Source organism: Homo sapiens, chromosome 15, assembly GCF_000001405.40.
Source record: "Homo sapiens chromosome 15, GRCh38.p14 Primary Assembly".
NCBI classification, from domain to species: Eukaryota; Metazoa; Chordata; class Mammalia; order Primates; family Hominidae; genus Homo; species Homo sapiens.
The window spans coordinates 60,614,819-60,633,182 of record NC_000015.10 but is presented as its reverse complement, the minus strand read 5'-3'; the positions used below and the strand labels follow the sequence as shown (position 1 = coordinate 60,633,182).

The 18,364-nt window shown below is 43.7% G+C and overlaps 1 protein-coding gene and 2 long non-coding RNA genes across 9 annotated transcripts in view, besides 1 other annotated feature; 1 reads left to right on the top strand and 2 right to left on the bottom strand.

Moving 5' to 3' along the window:
- Positions 1-1,032, bottom strand: part of LOC105370846 (uncharacterized) — a 30,635-nt gene extending 29,603 nt beyond the window's left edge. The window contains exon 1 of one of the 2 annotated variants that reach the window (XR_007064663.1): positions 915-1,032. This is a non-coding gene — a long non-coding RNA (uncharacterized LOC105370846). The remainder of the gene's footprint in view (positions 1-914) is intronic. The other variant, XR_007064665.1, reaches the window with a different exon arrangement.
- The window catches only part of RORA (RAR related orphan receptor A), a 741,019-nt gene that overhangs the window by 596,120 nt on the left and 126,535 nt on the right, over positions 1-18,364 (top strand). Inside the window, exons 1-2 of one of the 5 annotated variants that reach the window (NM_002943.4) lie at positions 5,653-5,945; positions 18,156-18,289. The exons of 3 other annotated variants lie outside the window; for them this stretch is intronic. In NM_002943.4, coding sequence (NP_002934.1) covers positions 5,809-5,945; positions 18,156-18,289 — 271 coding nt within the window. In that variant the 5' untranslated portion in view covers positions 5,653-5,808. Of the gene's footprint in view, positions 1-5,652; positions 5,946-18,155; positions 18,290-18,364 lie in introns of those variants that run through there. One more of the 5 variants, NM_134260.3, reaches the window with a different exon arrangement.
- RORA-AS1 (RORA antisense RNA 1) overlaps positions 2,544-18,364 on the bottom strand; it is a 151,462-nt gene continuing 135,641 nt past the window's right edge. For both annotated transcript variants that reach the window (NR_120342.1, NR_120341.1), the window contains one exon: positions 2,544-2,739. This is a non-coding gene — a long non-coding RNA (RORA antisense RNA 1). The remainder of the gene's footprint in view (positions 2,740-18,364) is intronic.
- Positions 12,382-12,882: an enhancer, noted in NCBI's record as "H3K4me1 hESC enhancer chr15:60912500-60913000 (GRCh37/hg19 assembly coordinates)". NCBI's record gives its function as "activates a minimal SCP1, AML or CMV promoter by ChIP-STARR-seq in naive H9 embryonic stem cells {active_cell/tissue: H9 hESC(naive)}" and the evidence as "EXISTENCE:reporter gene assay evidence [ECO:0000049][PMID:30033119]".

Genomic DNA, 18,364 nt, shown 5'->3' with positions numbered 1-18,364 from the left:
ATAGGTGCTGCTGTGGCATGACCTGGTCTGCATATTCTCAGATCTCAGAGCCAGCACCAGATTGTGATGAAGTTTCCACAAAAATGAGGGCAATCCATTGTAAAGCTGCCAACTTTATTTAAGAAATAAAGAAGAGAGTGTCCTTCCTACTTTTGGGGTATTGAAATGTTGCTTTCTTTTATGAATTAATGGTAATTGAAGATGGTAGCTGTGGGGTTTTTTTAAACACCCTTTTTTGATCAAATTTAAACTTGGCAACAGTATATTGATCTTCTCACAATTTCCCAATTTCCTTTTCTTTTCTTTTCTTTTTGGATTTTACTGGCCTGCAAAATCCAGTCTCTGGAAAATATCAGTCTATGGCTAATTCTGTCCATATGGTAATAGAGAGAATGCAGATAATCACCATTTTTAGCTCAAAGTAGCAAATCCCTCCCCTCCCAAAACTTGTGCCTCAGCTAATGATAAGTAGGACACCCGATGCGTGTGAGTTGTATTTCTCCCTCCACCCTCTAATAGGAGTCCTAAAATTAAGCCACAGAAGGTCAGAAAAGAATGAAGCAAGGGGAAAAATAATAATAAATAAATAAACCAGCTGGTTAATGGACTCAGTGTCGATGAACAATGAATAAAAGTATGCCCTATCATTATTTGGAATATACTAAAAAATTATTCATTGTGTATTTGAAATTCAAATTTAACTGGGAACCCTGCATTTTCTCGGGCCAACCTACACCTAAGTCTATCTGACCCTTTAGAAAATACATAGGTAGTGAGGCCGGGCGCAGTGGCTCATGCATGTAATCCCAGCACTTTGGGAGGCCGAGGCGGGCAGATCACGAGGTCAGGAGATCGAGACCATCCTGGCTAACACGGTGAAACCCCCGTCTCTACTAAAAATAGAAAAAAATTACCTGGGTGTAGTGGCAGGTTCCTGTAGTCCCAGCTACTTGGGAGGCTGAGGCAGGAGAATGGCGTGAATCCGGGAGGTGGAGCTTGCAGTGAGCCAGGATGCGCCACTGCACTCCAGCCTGGACAACAGAGTGAGACTCCGTCTAAAAAAAAAAAAAATAGGTAGTGAAACATGAATTTAAGTAGCTACTACACATAAATAGTTATTAATAAAATACTCTTTCGGTTCTCTTGGGGCTTTCTAGTTTTCTTGTCTACGTGTGAAATATTTAGATTATTGGGTTCTTATAAAAGTATACCCACCTTCTATTAAACCCGGAGAAGAGTAAAGCGAGTTAACTTGCCCCTGGTTGGCTTACCTTGTAAAGGAGTTGATAGCCAGTGTTTACAAGCAGGCCCTGCCAAATCGCCCCAGCGGCCCACCTGTGAGCTGGCTTTTCAGATGCTGCGGAGTAATTCCCTCTAACCCACACTGAAGCTCCAGGATCTGAAAGTTCGCGGGTGAGAAGTGAGGTAAGCCAGGAGCCTGTGAGGTTGCCCTTAGCCGTACTGGGCATGCGGACAGCACACATATTCTTTGTTTCTTGTTTTCCCCTCCGATGTTAAAACTAATACAAAGTTAAAAGCTCTACATTTTTTTTTTCAGTATTCTACCTGGCAAAGGTAGAGTTCCCCCACCTTACTGCAAAACAAAAGTAATAATAAAACTGTCAAGTAGTGTCAGCAACCTCTCCGGTAATATTTGCAGGGAAATTACTTTCCACCTACAAAGTTGACACCTATTTTCTGTTAGGGAAATGAATTGATATGAGCTGGAGATTGGCAGGGAAGTAGGAGTCTGGGTCAGATACCTGGTGTGCATTTCCTTAAAATGCCTAGGAATGTGGATGGTGTTTTTTCTTTTCCTTGACCACCTCAAGGTTGTTACAGAAGTAATATGAGGGGGAAAACTGTGAACAGTGCTTATGGGAGCAAAAATCAAAATGTGGAATCAGAGGCAGTTTTAGCGGTCAGTCACATAGCCCCAGATGGGCTGCTTAAGATTGGGAAAAGAAAGCTGGGTTAGAAAGTCTCATGCTGCTGGCCGGGTGCAATGGCTCACGCCTGTAATCCCAAACTTTGGGAGGCCGAGGCGGGTGGATCACCTGAGGTCAGGAGATAGAGACCATCCTGGCCAACATGGTAAAACCCCGTCTCTACTAAAAATACAAAAATTAGCTGGGTGTGGTGGTGGGTGCCTGTAATCCCAGCTACTCGGGAGGCTGAGGCAGGAGAATCGCTTGAACCCAGGAGGTGGAGGAGGTTGCAGTGAGCCGAGATTGTGCCACTGTACTCCAGCTTGGTGACAGAGCGAGACTCCGTCTCAAAAAAAAAAAAAAAAAGAAAGTCTCATCCTGGCCCAAATGCCATCTACCAGTGTGACTTTGGGCAGTTTGTGTTGTCCTCTGCCCATCAGTTTCCTCCTTTGCAAATGAAGGGCTTGGACAGGCTAACACCTGGGCTGTCTTAGCCCTATATCTCTAAGGAGGTACAGAGGAGAAAGGAGTTCCTGAGCTGTATATGAGACTCACCCACTTACCTGCTGGGACTTCAAAGGCTATAGATTTGAAATAACAAAGACACGCTCCTTGGTTTCTTGGTCTGACCTTCAGAAACACAAGTGCAGCCATTCTTTTTGCCTTCCACTGCCCACCCCTACCTTGTCAGAAGATGGTTGGTTGGACCATGTGCTTGGTCGTCCCAGGAGCCTGGGGAGCTCCACTGCTAATGGTTCCCTTGGACGCTGTACACACAGGTCATTGTTATCTTCCTTTTTCAAAGCTGTTACTTAGGTTGGATGAAAAATAGCAGAGTTCAGCCATCGTGATTATTTATACGGGCATACAAAGACAAGACACACCACTCTTTCTGTTACTAAATCATACTCTGGAGTCTGAGTTTCTTTGCCATATGCTTTCCGAGGCTTTTCCCACTGGGCTAGTTCTAGACAGAATCTGTATAAAACACTGCCCTTTTGGTCAGCAGTTCACAATGAACTTGGATGGGAAAATATATACTTTCCAAATCAGGGAATGTATATTCTGATTCTGTCCTTTGCATCAGTGTAGAACTCATGGTGGAAAAGATCAAAGATTTCTATGGGGTTCTTTCCATTCTGAGCCCTGAAGCTCATTATCTCATTTTTCTAGGTTTCCTCATGTGATGGCTGTCCATTTTTATAGCCCAATAGCCAAATCATAGGTCTTCCATTTTATCTTTGTCATTCAGAAGTATTCACCAGAGTTCCCTTTTTCTTCTTGGGCTTGTGACAACACCATGGAAGTTAGGCTGGGTTCCACCCTTGCCTGCCAACAGCTTTTGTGTTACTTTCATTCATGGAATACATTCTCAGTGTTGATTTATGTAGACGCTCCTATAGCCCTTGCCCCTCCCTTGACCTCAGTTATTCCTAATCCCCCCATCTTTGTCCTGTGAATGCTGGCTGGCCTTTCCAAGATGGAAAATCACTGGATGACCCGTACATCTGTGCAGCCCACACCTAGTACATTGCTGGCCTTTGCCCAAATTATGCCACCCCATTTGGTATGACCTGACACCATTGTGATCAGTCTGATGACCTGGCAGCATCCCATCTGCCTACCCAGTTCACTCTTGCTCCATTTCAGGGCCTCTTACAGCAACTCCTCACATATCTTCTTGTCACTGTCTCATGCCTTCTCAGTCTCAGCTAACATCAGCCCATTCATTGATACAGCAAGACAATTTGAGAACCACTATGTGCTCTGCCAGAGTGAATAACAAAACGCAGTACTTGCCCTCAAGGAGCTTAGACTCTAATGAGAAAGACAGACAATAAAGAATAAACAGTCATCCTGGCCAACATGGCAAAACCTCGTATCTACTAAAAATGCAAAAATTAGCTGGGCGTGGTGGTGCATGCCTATAATCCCAGCTACTTGGGAGACTGAGGCAGGAGAATCGCTTGAACCCAGGAGGCGGAGGTTGCAGTGAGCCGAGATCACACCACTGCACTCCAGCCTGGCAACAGAGCAAGACTCTGTTTCAAAAAAAAAAAAAAAAAAGAATAAACAGTCAATCCTTATAAACATCGAAAAGCTATGAAGAAAACAATCGGAGTGCTGTGAGACAGAGTGGCAGGTGGAGCCTATCTTAGATAGTGTAGGTCTGCAGAGGTCACATTTAAGCCAAGGCCTCAAGAATGAGAAGCCTGCCAGCCATGAGAGAAGAGGGGTAGAAATACCTGTGGACTTCAGGCTCAGCATGTGAGCAGATCCTAGCTCAGGGAAAAGCTCCTTGTGCTTGAGAACTAAAACGGGCCTCTCTAAACCCACCCCCTTTCCAGACACCTCTTTCACACAGATGCTGACTTCACCTGCTCATTCTGATTAATTCATCTCTTGAGCTGCAATAGGTCATTCTCTGGGTTCTCCTTACTTGACATTTGGGTGCATACCGTCTTTTATTATTCAGCTGTGTGGAAGATCTTTACGGGACTTGAGTTCCTTTCTTCACCTCTCCAAGGGCATCAGTCAGGCTTCTATTTATGTGGAAGATGCTGAAGAAATACTTGAATTCTATTCAGTTCAATAAACATTAATTAAATGCCTGGTCTGTGCTAGGTGGTACCTGCTGGGTATTTAATTCAGTGCTGGTGTTTAAAAATAACCAAGCCTGGCAAGATGGCAAGACCCTGTCTGTATTTAAAAAAATGTAAAAATTAGCTGGGTGCAGTAAACATACCTATGGTCCTAGCTACTTCAGAGGCTGAGGCAGGAGGATCCCTTGAGCCCAGGAGTTTGAGGCAGCAGCGATTTATGACAGTGCCACAGCGCTGCAGCCTGGGTGACAAAGCAAGACCCCATCTCCAAAAGAATAAATACATAAAATAAACAAACCCCAGTCTAACCATGAGAAAAACATCACACAAACCCATTAAGGGATATTCTACAACACTGCTGACCAGTACTCCTCAAAACTGGCAAGATCATCAAAAACAAGGAAAGTTCGAGAAACTGTCACAGACCAGAGGAGGCAAAAGAGACATGACAGCTAAACATAATGTGAGATCGGATGGGATCCTGCAACAGGAAGAGGACACCAGGTAAAAACTAGCGAAATAATCAGTAACATACCAATGTTGATTCCTTAGTTGTAACAAACACACCATAGTAAAGCAATACGTTAACCAGATAATAAAGTATACAGGCATTATCTGTACTATTTTTACAAATTTCTGTAGCTCTAAAACTATCCTAAAATAGTTTATTTAAATTAAAAAATAAATAAATAATTAAGACATGTTCCCTGCTCTCTATAAGCTTATACTCCAGGAGAGGAGACACACATCTAAACAAATATTTGCAACTCAGTATGATAAGGGTAACAATAAAAATGTATGCCAAGTACAAAAGTAGTCCATATGAAGGCATGATTATCTCAAATTTAGAGAAGAAATCACTGAGGAGGGCAATGCCTGGAGCTGGGTTTTGAGGGATTAATAAGAGTTTGAAGAATGTGAAAGACGCTTGGAAAAGGTTAATTTGAGCCTAGGAAAGGGCATTTGACAAAGCCTGGAATTTTTTCAAACTATTTGGTATTGAAAAAAGGGAAGAAAGAAAAGAAAAGAGAGGAGCCCAGCTTTGGAATTTAGTCAACAATTATGGGAGAATTGTAAGTACCTCATTCTTTGTGGCTGGGATTCCACTGCCCATGGCAGCAGATTCACAGGGCCTCTGAGCATTATCCCCCATACTCCTCCCCATCATTCTCCACCCAGCTGTTGGAGCCATCTGTCTGATCACCTTGGACTCCATAGTACACTGGGGCAAAGCACAGCCCCAGTTTCTGGAGGCAGATGGGTAACCAGGAAAAGGCATGAATGAGGGGGCCCCAGGAGACAGTGACTTAGAGACTGAGGCAAGAGTGCCGTGGTCAATCATGGGTCATTGTCTTCGAACTGGACAGGCCAGAATGTCTGCCACACCCACACCTGCAGGTGAAGGAGCCAGAAGGTAAGAGCCACTGAGAGCAAGTTCTTTGCTCTGCTGATCACTGTGTACCCTCCCCCCACCACCCACAACCCAATGTCTGGCTTAAAGTCAGTTCTCCAAGAATATCTGACGAGTGAAGGAAAAGATGAAGCCCATGAGGACTGTTACCCTTCAGCCACAGAGGAATGAATCAAAATGGGAACCCGAGGTGGGATGCCCAAGCCAAAGGTCAGGAGGTGACCAGTGAAGTGGCTGGCCTCCAACAGAAGGGTGATCTCTCAAGTCCTCTCTTGGGGAAATCTGAACAGGAGGAGGCAGGTAGGCAGCAGCTGAAGCACAGAGATTTGAGGTGGAGAAGGTCGTGAATCCCTCTGTAGAAGGTGCTGTTATAAGTAAGCAAAGTCTATGAATGAGCCCAATGGTGGTGAGTGAGTGAGTGAGTCAGTTACTATCAGAACTGAGAGGCAAACATCCAGGGAAAGGCAGTAACCTTAAGGCAGAGAAACTGTTCTGCCCACGAGAGGGACAGCAAGAGAGCAGCAGATTTTCCCGATCCTGTTTCTGTGCGGCCCACCCACTCTGGTGACAGTGACCTCTACAAGCCCAAATGTCCTATCAAATGGGGGTAATAACAGCGACAGCCTCATGGGTTTATGATGGGGTTGACAGGAGACAATCCACGCAAAGCACTGAGCACCATGCTGGGCAGCTAAGTAGTTCATCAATGATATTTTTGAGGTTGTTGTTTTATAATTCTTATTAAATTCCATGAGAACGCGGCTACTCATATTACTCCATGTGCATTCTTGCAAGAATCACCCTTTAGTTTGGTGAGTCTTTGTTCCTTGCAACAACAACAACAACGACAACAACAACAACAAAACCCGAATTTCAAAACGATCCCTGGTCAGAGTTGCAGGAACTATGAAATATGTTTGACACAGCCCAGTGGAGGCCCTAATCCCTAGGGATCATTTTCCCTGTCAGTTCCAAGAGGGGAATTCCCTGTATGCTCAGCTAGCTGTTTGACAGTGACTGGTGCAGCTTGTGGGCTTCCTGGTTTGGGGAGGTTGAGCTCAAACAGACACCAGGCTACCCACCCTGGGTTGAACTGTGGGGAACTAGAGAAGTTAGAGGCAGGGAAATAGTCGTGAGCTAACACAGGCTGAGCATTCCTGGTGTCCCTTTGGGCTCCCTGAGGCAGCAGCGTGCTGAGAAGCCTGTCCCTGCTGAGGAAGGAAGAACGTGGGAGCTCTGAAGACACAACTTGTCGACCCCCATCCCTAGAAAATGTTACAAAGCTCATATTTTCACTTTGTTGTTTAATCAGTGGTTTCATACACCATTAGCATTATTTTGTTTTCTGAATAGGACACATAGGTACATGATACAATATTCAAAAGGTACGAAAGGATGTAAAGTTAGAGGTGTAAGCCTTATGCCTTAGCCACAGTTACCAATTTCTTATGCAGCCTTCCGAAAATCCATTCTATAAATATGTTAGCATGATGAATTCAAACATACATATTCAAATATATCTGTTTGTACACACTGTCTGCATCTTGATTTTTTCAATTCACGCCACATCTTTAGAGATAATTCCATAGCAATTTCGTACACAATTTCCTTGTTCTTTTTAACAACTGTATGATATTCCATTTTAATGATACACCAGACGTTATTTAATCCCCTAATAAATTTTTAATTTGTTTTCAGGCTTTGCAAATACAAACAAAGCTACAGTGAATATCCTCAAACATGAACCATTTTGTACATATGCAAATAGAGGTACAGGATAAATTCCTAGATGCGGAATAGTAGGACAATGGTAAATGCATTTGTAATATTAATGGACGTTGCAAAGTGGTCCTTCATGGAGACTTTGCCAGTTTATGTGGCCACCAATAATGTATGTGAGTGCCTGTTGCCCTACAACCTCACCAAACATAATGAATAAGTTTTTTACTTAACAAAACAAAAAAAAAGATTTGTTTTTGTGGTAAATCTAAACATGGACAAAAGCCTTTTTTCTGTTGTTGTTGTTGTTTTTCTGAAGCCCGGTCTGTGTCTTTCTGTATGTCTGTGTCTCTTAAGTACATGCACACCCACAATCCCTTGCCCTCTCTCCATTGGAGCTTGGTTGAAAAGCTTTAATCTAATTATTTCTTTTCCACATTGTAGCGGGTTTTAGTCTTTGGTGGTTTGAATTTGCAAACGAAGAAAAGTAGTTCTTGGGCAAGTGTTTTCACTAAGCCCTACATTTCCCAATGTAGAGGGTCTTTAAAGCTTTCCAGAAACGATTGCTGCTCTCAATATGCCAGGGCCCATTTCTTGGTTAATTTTTCCAAAGCCTTGATAATACTGAGGGGAATGATACTGGGGTTGCTAATGCTCAGTATTTACAGAGCTTCTTTGTCTGAGATCTCAAAGCACTTGACAGCATTAAATCATTGTTCCCTTGGCCCTCTCAAAAGCATCTTTGAACACAGATGGATGTTACACAGAAATGAAAGCTGTGCTTTCTATCCAAATTGCCTGAAAGGTGACCAGGAAGAAAATACCAACTAACCAACATAGTTTGTAGCCATAGTAGCATGTCCCTTTATTTACCTCAAACAATTTACCTTTTGTAGATACATTTCCAATGAATAATTGTGTGTGTTTGTGTGTGTGTGTATATATAATATATATGTGCAGCAAATATATATATATACAGCAAATATATATATACTATATATATATATACACACACATACAGCAAATATATATATATATATATATATATATGCAGCAAATGGAAGAGGACCTCTTCCATACATGTGGTAATGAGGTTAACTTATATCAGCGGGTCGTGTCCCTGGATTCAAAGGAAGATATGCTAAGGTCTTTAGGCCTCTTGACTCTCTATGGTCTAAGTCTCTGCTAGTCTCTTCTATCAGATAAAATATATAACTATGACCAAACATTGCTTCCAGTGGTCCAGGAAAAGAAAGAAGGAAGACAGGAAGGGAAGAAGAGAGGGATGTAGAGAAAAAAAGAAGGAAGGAAAGGTGGAAAAAATAAAAACCCTAATTCAGATCTGATGTTTCTTTCCAATGTTGAACAATACCTTATAAATAGAAAGCACAGCCTGGCCTCATGCATAATGTTTGATTCCACCAGTGAGTAATTGTCCTATAGAGTATTTCTGCAGTCACCCCACCATAGGCCTCCCCACCCTTTCCCACCCCCTACTCTCCACCTGCTCCATGTCCTCCACATACCATACACAGAATTCCAACCTTCGAGCAAGAATTTTAGTGGGAAAATGTTGGCAACTATCATCTCATATTTCAGATACAGAAAACAAGTCACAGAGAAGCTATAACTTATTTAGTGATAAAGATTCTATGTTAGGCACACATATCTCAAACTGCGTCTCCTGGGTCAAAAATGATCAACCAATAGTTTTGATTTTAAAAAATTATTTAATACCTAAATAACACTGAACATCAAAATAAAAGTAAACTTACTGGGGTCCTGCCACCCCAACTAATCATACTGCTTTCATCCCCCTCTGTATCCTTTGTCCATATTCACATAAAGCGGTAACCAGAGCCCACAGCAACATAATGTTATGGGCAACAGCCTGGCTCTGGAGCCAGGCCACTTGTGCTTATATCCAATTCCACCATTGACTAGCTGGGCCTTAGTTCCCTTGTCTGTTAAATGGGAACATTAGCAGTACCTACCTCATGGTGCTTTCATGGGGGAATCAATGAGATGTCCATGTTAAGTAGTTAGACAAGTGCCTAGGGTATATCAGCCCTGGGTAAATATTAGCTGCTGCTGTTATTATTTTTAATTTTTGCTTTCTGCTTTTAAAAATGTATCATAAGCAAGTGCAATAGAATTGTAGTTGCTGATAGATCCCAAATCCTTGCTAAGCTGACTGCCCCCTCCTGGGCATTACTAAAGAATTTTAAATATTTTAGACTGACCCCTCTCCAGATTCCTGGGGGTCCCTACACTGCAGAGAGGCAAGCAACATCTTTTGGGCCCTCCTCTTTCAGGGACTTTGCAGAGCACACCTGTGGTGGGCTTCACTGCTATCCTGGCTCTTTTACACTGTAAATTTCAAGGTTTCAGGGAAAAAAAGAAGGGAGTGAATAAGTGAGGCAAGACACAGGGAAGACACGGCATTCCTCAGGGTTTCCAGGGTCTCACTGGGTAGCTGCAACCTTGCAATCAAAGATTATGACATGGCCGGGCATAGTGGCTCATGCCTGTAATCCCAGCACTTTGGGAGACTGAGGCGGGTGGATCACCTGAGGTCAGGAGTTCGAGACCAGCCTGGCCAATATGGTGAAACCCCATCTCTACTAAAAATACAAAAATTAGCCAGGTGTGGTGGTGCATGCCTGTACTCCCAGCTACTCAGGTGGCTGAGATGGAAGAATCACCTGAGCCCAGGAGGTGGAGGTGGCCGTGAGCCAAGATTTTGCCACTGCACCCCAGCCTGGGTGACACAGCGAGACTGCACCTCAAAAAATAATTGTTTTAAAATTATGTTTTAAAATTGCTGATCCTTTTCAGAATGATGGTAATAAAAGGCATTGGTATCTTGGTATTGTATTTCTTTCTGTTTGTTTGAGACCGGGTCTGGCTCATCACCCAGGCTGGAGTGCAGTGATGCAGTCTTGTCTCCCTGAAACCTCCGCCTCACTGCAACCTCCACCTCCCAGGCTCAGGTGGTTCTCCTATCTCAGCCTCCTGAGTAGCTGGGACTACAGGCACACATCACCATGCCCAGCTAATTTTTGTATTTTTAGTAAAGACGGGGTTTCACATGTTCCCCAGGCTGGTCTCAAATTCCCGAGCTCAAGCAATCTGCCCACCTCAGCCTCCCAAAGTGCTGGGATTACAGGTGTTAGCCATCACGCCCAGCCTGCATCTTGGTATTTTAGAAGCTGATTTAGTATCTTTTGTATTTTATACATTTTTGTTAACATTTTGTGTTAGTATAATTTCAAACTTATAGAAAAGTTGCAAGTGTAGCATAACTAACTCCCACCCACCCTTTATCCAGATTCACTAATTATTAACCTTGTGCTCTACTTGCTTATCATTCTCATCCCCATGTATAAATACTGTTATATATACTATTATAGAGGGAGTATACACATACTATGGGTACTACATGGAGGGAACATTCCGCTTTCCTTTTTTTTGAGTCACAGTTTCACTCCTGTTGCCCAGGCTGGAGTGCAACGGTGCAACCTTGGCTCACCACGACCTCCGCCTCCCGGATTCAAGCAATTCTCCTGCCTCAGCCTCCTGAGTAGCTGGGATTACAGGTGCCTGCCACCACGCCCGGCTAATTTTTGTATTTTTAGTAGAGATGAGTTTTCACCGTATTGGCCAGGCTGGTCTCGAACTCCTGACCTCAGGTGATCTGCTTGCCTCGCCCTCCCAAAGTGCTGGGATTACAGGTGTGAGTTACTGCGCCCGGCCCCCACCCTTTACTCTTTTTCAGTGTAGATTTCCTAGGAACATAGTCTTTCTCTTCCATGACCACAGTACAATGATCATAATCAGGGAATGTAACATTGATACAATACTGTTCCCCAACCCACAATCTGTTTTTGTATTTTTAAAGCCTCGCTTAAAAAGCAGGTGTGGGACAAAGATGATAAATGTACATCATAGCCTAATTAGGCCACTTGTTCACCTGGTGACCTCCCCACTGGAGTCATTCTTCAAAGCCCAGCTCTAACAAGGCACCCCTGCAAGCCTGTGCAGGCTGCTGTCCCCACCTGGCAGAAATAATTCTCTGCCAGGTAGCTCTCTGTGTGTGCCCCGGTTATAGCCCTTCATGTTATATAGCAACAATTTACTCTCTGGCTCCGCAGTGGACTATGAGCTTCTCTGGGTTTCCAGGGCCTAGTTGGGTAGCTGACAGATAATTGATGCTTAGGAGATGTTTGTTAAAAAATGGATGGGCAAATAGACAAATGGAAGCCTCTGGTGGGCTGAACTTGATAAAGAGGTATTTTCTTAAAAAATATATATATATATATTCGATGAAAGTTCAGAGATACACAATACAGTGGGTGAAATTATAAGTTCTTCTTAGGAACATCTTAGGGCAAGGAAGACATTGTGTATGGGATCTTGGCTCATGCCTCACTGCCACTCCCTCAAACTTTTGTCTCCTCCCTCTACGCCAAAGCATAGTAACTGCTGAAAGAATACAGTTATGCGCAGGAAGCGTGTATAGACTAGACTCCCTGAAGAGCTGGTGCCTGTGAGCATAAGAAACGCAGCCCGGGATTGCAGCACTTGGCAGCCCTGGGCTTTCCATCATTCCTGCCACGTTCACATGCAGTAACTTTCCGTGCCGGCTCTGAGCTGCTAGTGGGAGGCGGAGCTCCGGGCTGTCCCCCTCTCCCCAGCAGCCATCAGCGCCAGGGTGCCCGGCAACTGTGCCTTGGACTAACCCGAAAAGCCACACATCCCAGACCTGGGAGCACTCCAGCCAAACGAGTTTGTGGCAGAACCTGGTAACTTCCAGAGCCTTTGAACTGGAGTGTGGAGCTTACTGCTTTCCCAAACACTTCTCCTGGAAGATACTGTCACCAGCCAGCCCCTTGGTCCCAGCTGCTGCTCCCTCCCAGGTCCATGCTGGTGCAAGTGTCACAAAACAGACAGTAATTGAGTTCAGCCTTTATTGAGCAGCTACTCTGTGGCAGGTACTACCCTAGATTTGGACATTACCATGTTACTTAATTTTTATTTTCATTTAAAAATACGTACCATTTGCTGCATGCCAGACACTGTTCTAACCACTTAACACATAAGAACTCATTTGATCCTCATGACGGCCTATGAAGTAGGTTCTATTATGATTTCAATTTTTTGGATGTGGAAACTGAAGCACAGAGAGATTAAGTCACTTAAGGGATGAGATGTGGTCCCTGTCCTTATTTGAGCTAATACCATGAGGTCTTTTTCCCTTTCACATTTTCTATGTTATTTTCACTTACTTTCCATTTGATGGTTATCTCAAAAATATTATTCAGATCCATCTGTAAATATGCATTAATACTTACTGTGCACCAGATATCCTGGGACTCCAAAGAAGTCTAAAGTAGATTCCTCACTCTAAAGCAACAGAGTTTGGTTAGGGTAACGAAGCATCTATACTTTAGCTACAAAAGGAGATAGTGAGAGATGCTGACCGTGGGACCTTCAGGAGTTGAAGGGACAGGAAGAATCTTAGGGGCAGGAATGACTGGGGAAGACGTCAGAGAAGGTGGATGGAGCTCTTGGAAACCTGAATAAATGAACAGAGAGAATCAGCCTAGTGAACTACGGCTGTCTGTCCATTGAGGCCTGCAAAAGCAGGCAAAGATGCGGTACACCTTCTGCAGAAAGTGCCTCAAACAATGCCTGTGGTTCTGGATCTTAAAAGCATAAAGCCCTGAAATCTTGAGTGGTTTGGTGGACCTCACAGCTCCTGAGCCACAGTGAAGTGGTCAAGATGGATGATCCTTGTGTGATAATACATTATGACTCATTATGATAAAGTGGCAATACAGAAAATGTGGGGACCAACTTGTAGGCAGAACTCCCGCTTGTATGCAGACAGATTTCAATGCTATGAGATGAGGGGAAGGAGGGAAGCAGCTAATGTGTTTAGTGTTACAGGATTACTACTAAATTTCTCAGTTGACTTATATGTTATGATATTCTTATGCAATAAAATTTTAAAAGATTTTAGGAAACAAAGCAAAACAAAATTTCCTCAGCCCTGATGATTATGAACTGACGTAAAAGGCATCATCATGATACATCATCTGTGACTATGGGTTGCCATATTTGTAGCCCCAAGATAGTTTGTCCCCAAATTGTTCAAATGCAGCTGAGGTGGCTGCTGACAGTGCATAAAACTAAATTCAATCCTCAATAATAGGAGGAGTCACAACTTGTCTTTGTCTCCAAAGAAAGATGATCCATTGAAGAATGTGTGTCAATTTTTGTAGTCATTTCGTTACCACGATCATGCTTTAACTCGAAGAAAGCACCACTGAATCCTGGAGTGCACTTTACATTATGAAACATTACAGTAAGCAGTTGATGTCCAACATGATTGCAATTAGAGCTTAGTGAAGCACAAGAAGGGACAATCCATGTAGGATGCATTAGTGTAACTGTGTTTGCCAGGAACAAGTTTTAACCTTTTGTACAGCTGTTGAGGGAAAGGTGCCAGTATTCCCTGTGAGAATACCTGTCAAGTTTGCATTTGAACAGGGAACACCTAGTTTATGTTTGTGAAGACCACTCCCTTTTTATGCTGAGCACCTTTGGGCATGTGTCAGCAAGGAGGTGTTAAGGCAGATGGGAAAAACAAATGCATGAGCTTCAAACCCAGCAGATTAGCAAGATTTGGAGAAATGGCAAGGCAGGAAAAGTTACAAAGAAATCACCTATTCCCATAACATAGAAATGTTGGAAAGTGACATTTGGAGAGTGAGAAGGGGATTATCTTTAAGAGGTAAAACTCAAAAGAAGGATGACTTTCTCCTATCCTGAAATGAGAAAATACATTCATTTTTCTTTTTGTCATCAAAGTATAAAGAACATGTTACCTATGTATCCTGCCTCTTATAAAGCTCCTGGAGAATAAATACTTTTTTTTTAAGTTGTGTTCACATATTTTATAGTGAGTTGAAATTTGGTAGGGGCAACTATAACATAAAGTAGGTATCCTGCCTCCTAATATTTTAATCCAGTCATCCAACATTTGACACATTTTTGGGGCACTGCTGTGTGCCAGGTGCCTGGGGTGCAATACTGAACACAAAGGACGGGCTTCAAGATGTGCGTGTATGGGATCTGTGTCACCACCTGCTACATGTATCTGTAGGGGCTGTGTGGGTAGGCAGGGGTCAGAGCAGAGAGCAATGTAGCAGAGGTTGCCCTTGGCCTTGGCCAAAGTTGATTGAGTCTTGAATGCTGGTACCCAAGCATTACTCCATCACTGTTTCTGAGGATGGTGTTACTGTCAGATTCTTAGAGTCCCCAGTCACCTCTGCCCCACCTCCAGCAACACAGGAGAAGAAAACCAGCCAAGCTAAGTGTTACTGGCCAAGAAAAGAAAGATATGGATAACTATTAAAAGAACATCTGTTTAACACCTTATCTGTGGCCTGTAGTAGTCTATTCCTAACTGATAATTAAAAATTGCCCTCGGTTACAAGCCCCATTCACTTCTCTATGACTTCTTAGTTTTAAGAACCAGAGTTTGGCTTGCCAAGAGTACAGCAGACTTCTTGAGCACCTCTTATCCCTAGCTGCCTCTCTATTTTTCCCCCATACCCACAGCAACACCCTGACATAGCCAGGCCCAGCCTCTGGAACAGTCCTGCCCAAACTTGGGCTTAGCAACTGTTATCAAGAACTGGATGAACTGAGGCCTCCTTCCCACCACAGGGCAAATCTGCCCATCGCCAGGTTTGAAGTTCTTAATGAAGACCAGGCTGAGAAGAAGCTCACAGTTTTAGGTTTCTCTCTCTCTCCCTCTTTCTCTCTCTCTCTCTCTCTCTCTCTCTCTCTCTGTCTGTATGTGTGTATGTGCGTGTGTGTGTGTATTTTTTCTTTACTCTTTCTTCCTTCCTTCCTGATTAATATAGCTCATCATCCACTGTGCTATGAATCTGTAACACGCATTGAAATTGGCCAATGACAGTTCTGCAGGCAGTCCCTCCGGGGGAGTCTATGGATAGGATGTTCTCCAAGAGGAATTCTCACTGTCACGTTCTGCCTTTTGCGCAGTTGCTTCCTCAGACCTTGCTGCCTTCAAAACTCAGTACAGAGTTCACCCTTTGCTCCTGTGTTTCTGTGGTAAAAATAGGGCCCCCAAATTTCAATGGACCAGGTATGATTTCTTTGCCTCAATTAGTGGACAAGCACTTAATGAAGACTGGGGCTGGGTGCTCTCCCTTGTATGAGTGATTGATTGATTCAACAAATATGAGCAATAAAATGGCACCTACTGTATACCAGGCACTGTGATGGGTTCTGTGACTATAACACTGAGCCAGACAGATACACTCCCTGTCCTACTGTACTCACTAGTAAAGAATACATATCATCATATCACCCCTGCCTCTGATAAGTTGTGCTAGGACAGAAAGGAGAGAAAGCTTGGGGCGATTGTGTTGTTGTGGGCTTTTTTGTTTGATTGATTTCAGAAGCAATTCTATATTGTGCAAGTCTTCCCCCAAATGCATTGTCTTTTATATGAATCTTGCCCATCATAGTAAAAGCATGTACATCAAGTCTTCTTCAATGTATTTTCTCTGAGAACTCAACCTGTTACTTATAGAGGTAGACGTGAGGCTGGTCTGAGAACAAGGGGGGTTTTGAGGACCAGGGGGTTTCCTACAGCCTTTCCCCTGACTCAGCAAACCTTGCAGCTAGTCGAGCTGAACCTGGATGTACCTCAACCACAGAACGCAGGTATGATCATTCTTATTTGTGCAACGCACAAGATTACTCAGGGAAAATCAGTTCATTTGTACCTGAGAAACTTTCTTTCCTAAGCTCTTTTCCTGAAATGCAGTTCTGACATGTTTGGGGTCTGTTTCTGTTCCAAGATCAGAATTTCTTAAACCCCATGACCCCTGGAATTCTTCACAACTTCCCCCAAACACCCCTCTGCTGCTCTTCCCGGCTCTTGTTTCTTTCTGAGCCTTCACAAGGACTCAAGGAATATTTTCTAACTTTTGGTTCACAACAGATACCAGTAAAACAACAAACAAATCAAAATTTCTCAATCCTCACCAACCAATGACAGCCCTCGTGCAACTGGGAGGTTGCCTGGCAGGTGTGGGAGATGAGATTTTAACAGACAACAAGGTGAGAGATGAGAGGGCAGACGCATGCGCTGGCATTAGTCTCACACACACTGAAGACGCGTCATAGCACCACCCTGAGCACACACACCCTTATGGGATTTGATCAACACTTTTATCAAATTGCTTAACACTGCCAATTCACATGTTCCCTAATTTACCTTGCTCTCGGTTGATCCCCAAACCACAAATACATATGTGTGCCTAAGTTTGTGCATGCATACATTAAACAGGACATAAAGTGTTTTATGCATGTGAGTGTATATATGTGGACAAAATTTGAGGTATTTTATAATGCTCTTCACATTGAGTTTTATAAGAGTCCAATAGAGGTGCATTTGCTTCTCCTGGAGCAATGGCACTTTTTAGAGGAACTAAATTCAGCACCCCCCAAATGAGACATGCTCATAACAATCATGCTTATAGGTTGCTCACATGTCAAGAGCTGGGGCACATGGGTGAATGGAGAGTGAGAAAGCAGAGTTATTTTCGAAGCAGCCCTCTCAACCTCCATCCACAGAACTCCATGCAGCTAAGGGGTTTCAGGCAGCAGGGCCTCGTCAGTCATTCCTTGCTCATTAACAAAAGGACTTGTCATCTGAAGAACTGGTTGCCATGCGTTGATTGTTAGGAGTTCAGGATAAACAGGTTTCAGCAGCGCACAAAGGTTTTTTGGCAAACAGAAAACATAAACAACTTCCTTATGAGCTAGGCTGGCAGGGAGCAGCTTCCCCGGACCTGGGCTATCGTGAGCTCACATTCTTCCTCCACCCACTGAAGATTGCTCCCTGTTGGTTTTGCTGGGTAAACGCAAATCCCATTATCAGCCTTCTCCTCCCCGGCTGCTGCTGGAGCCCCCGGTACAGAGTTACCTGCTTAGCAAGCTCCTGATAAGTCCTTGGAGGCCCCATCTCGTGAGACTTTGGGGCGAATCTTCCCTCCCCTTCTCATTTTACACTTGTTGCAAGGTGAGGGTTAGAGATACCGGCTGGGGTGTTATTCTTTCCTATTACTGGTTTCCCAGATAAGATAGGCAAACCTTCAGGACTTAGAAGCACTCGATCTCAAGGCTCCGTGGAGAAGAGAAGCCACCCAGTGCCCCTTTATCTATATCCCCTGACCCCAAGTGTGGTCAGCATGGGCTATTACAGGATTCAAAATACAGGAATCAGAGCCATCAGCTCTGCCAAGTGCACTAGCACTAAGATGAGGAAACACGAGAGAGCATTAGGACTTGGGTGGCTGTGGATAGTGGCAGCTGATCCACCACCAGGTTCTAGGAAGCAGAAAGGGGGCTGTGTGTGGGTTGACGCTGTTCTGTTTTCCCTGACAGCTCTTCAACCTGTAGCTCCCTGAGCAGGCTGTTCTGGTCTCAACTTGAGCACATAAACTGGGATGGAGCCACAGCCAAGAACTTTATTAATTTAAGGGAGTTCTTCTCTTTTCTGCTCCCTGCATTGAGAAAAGGTGCGTTATTTGAGAGCTTACTATGCTCCAGGCAGCTATATGTATGTAAGCATGTCAGTGTCTGTCTGCATGTGC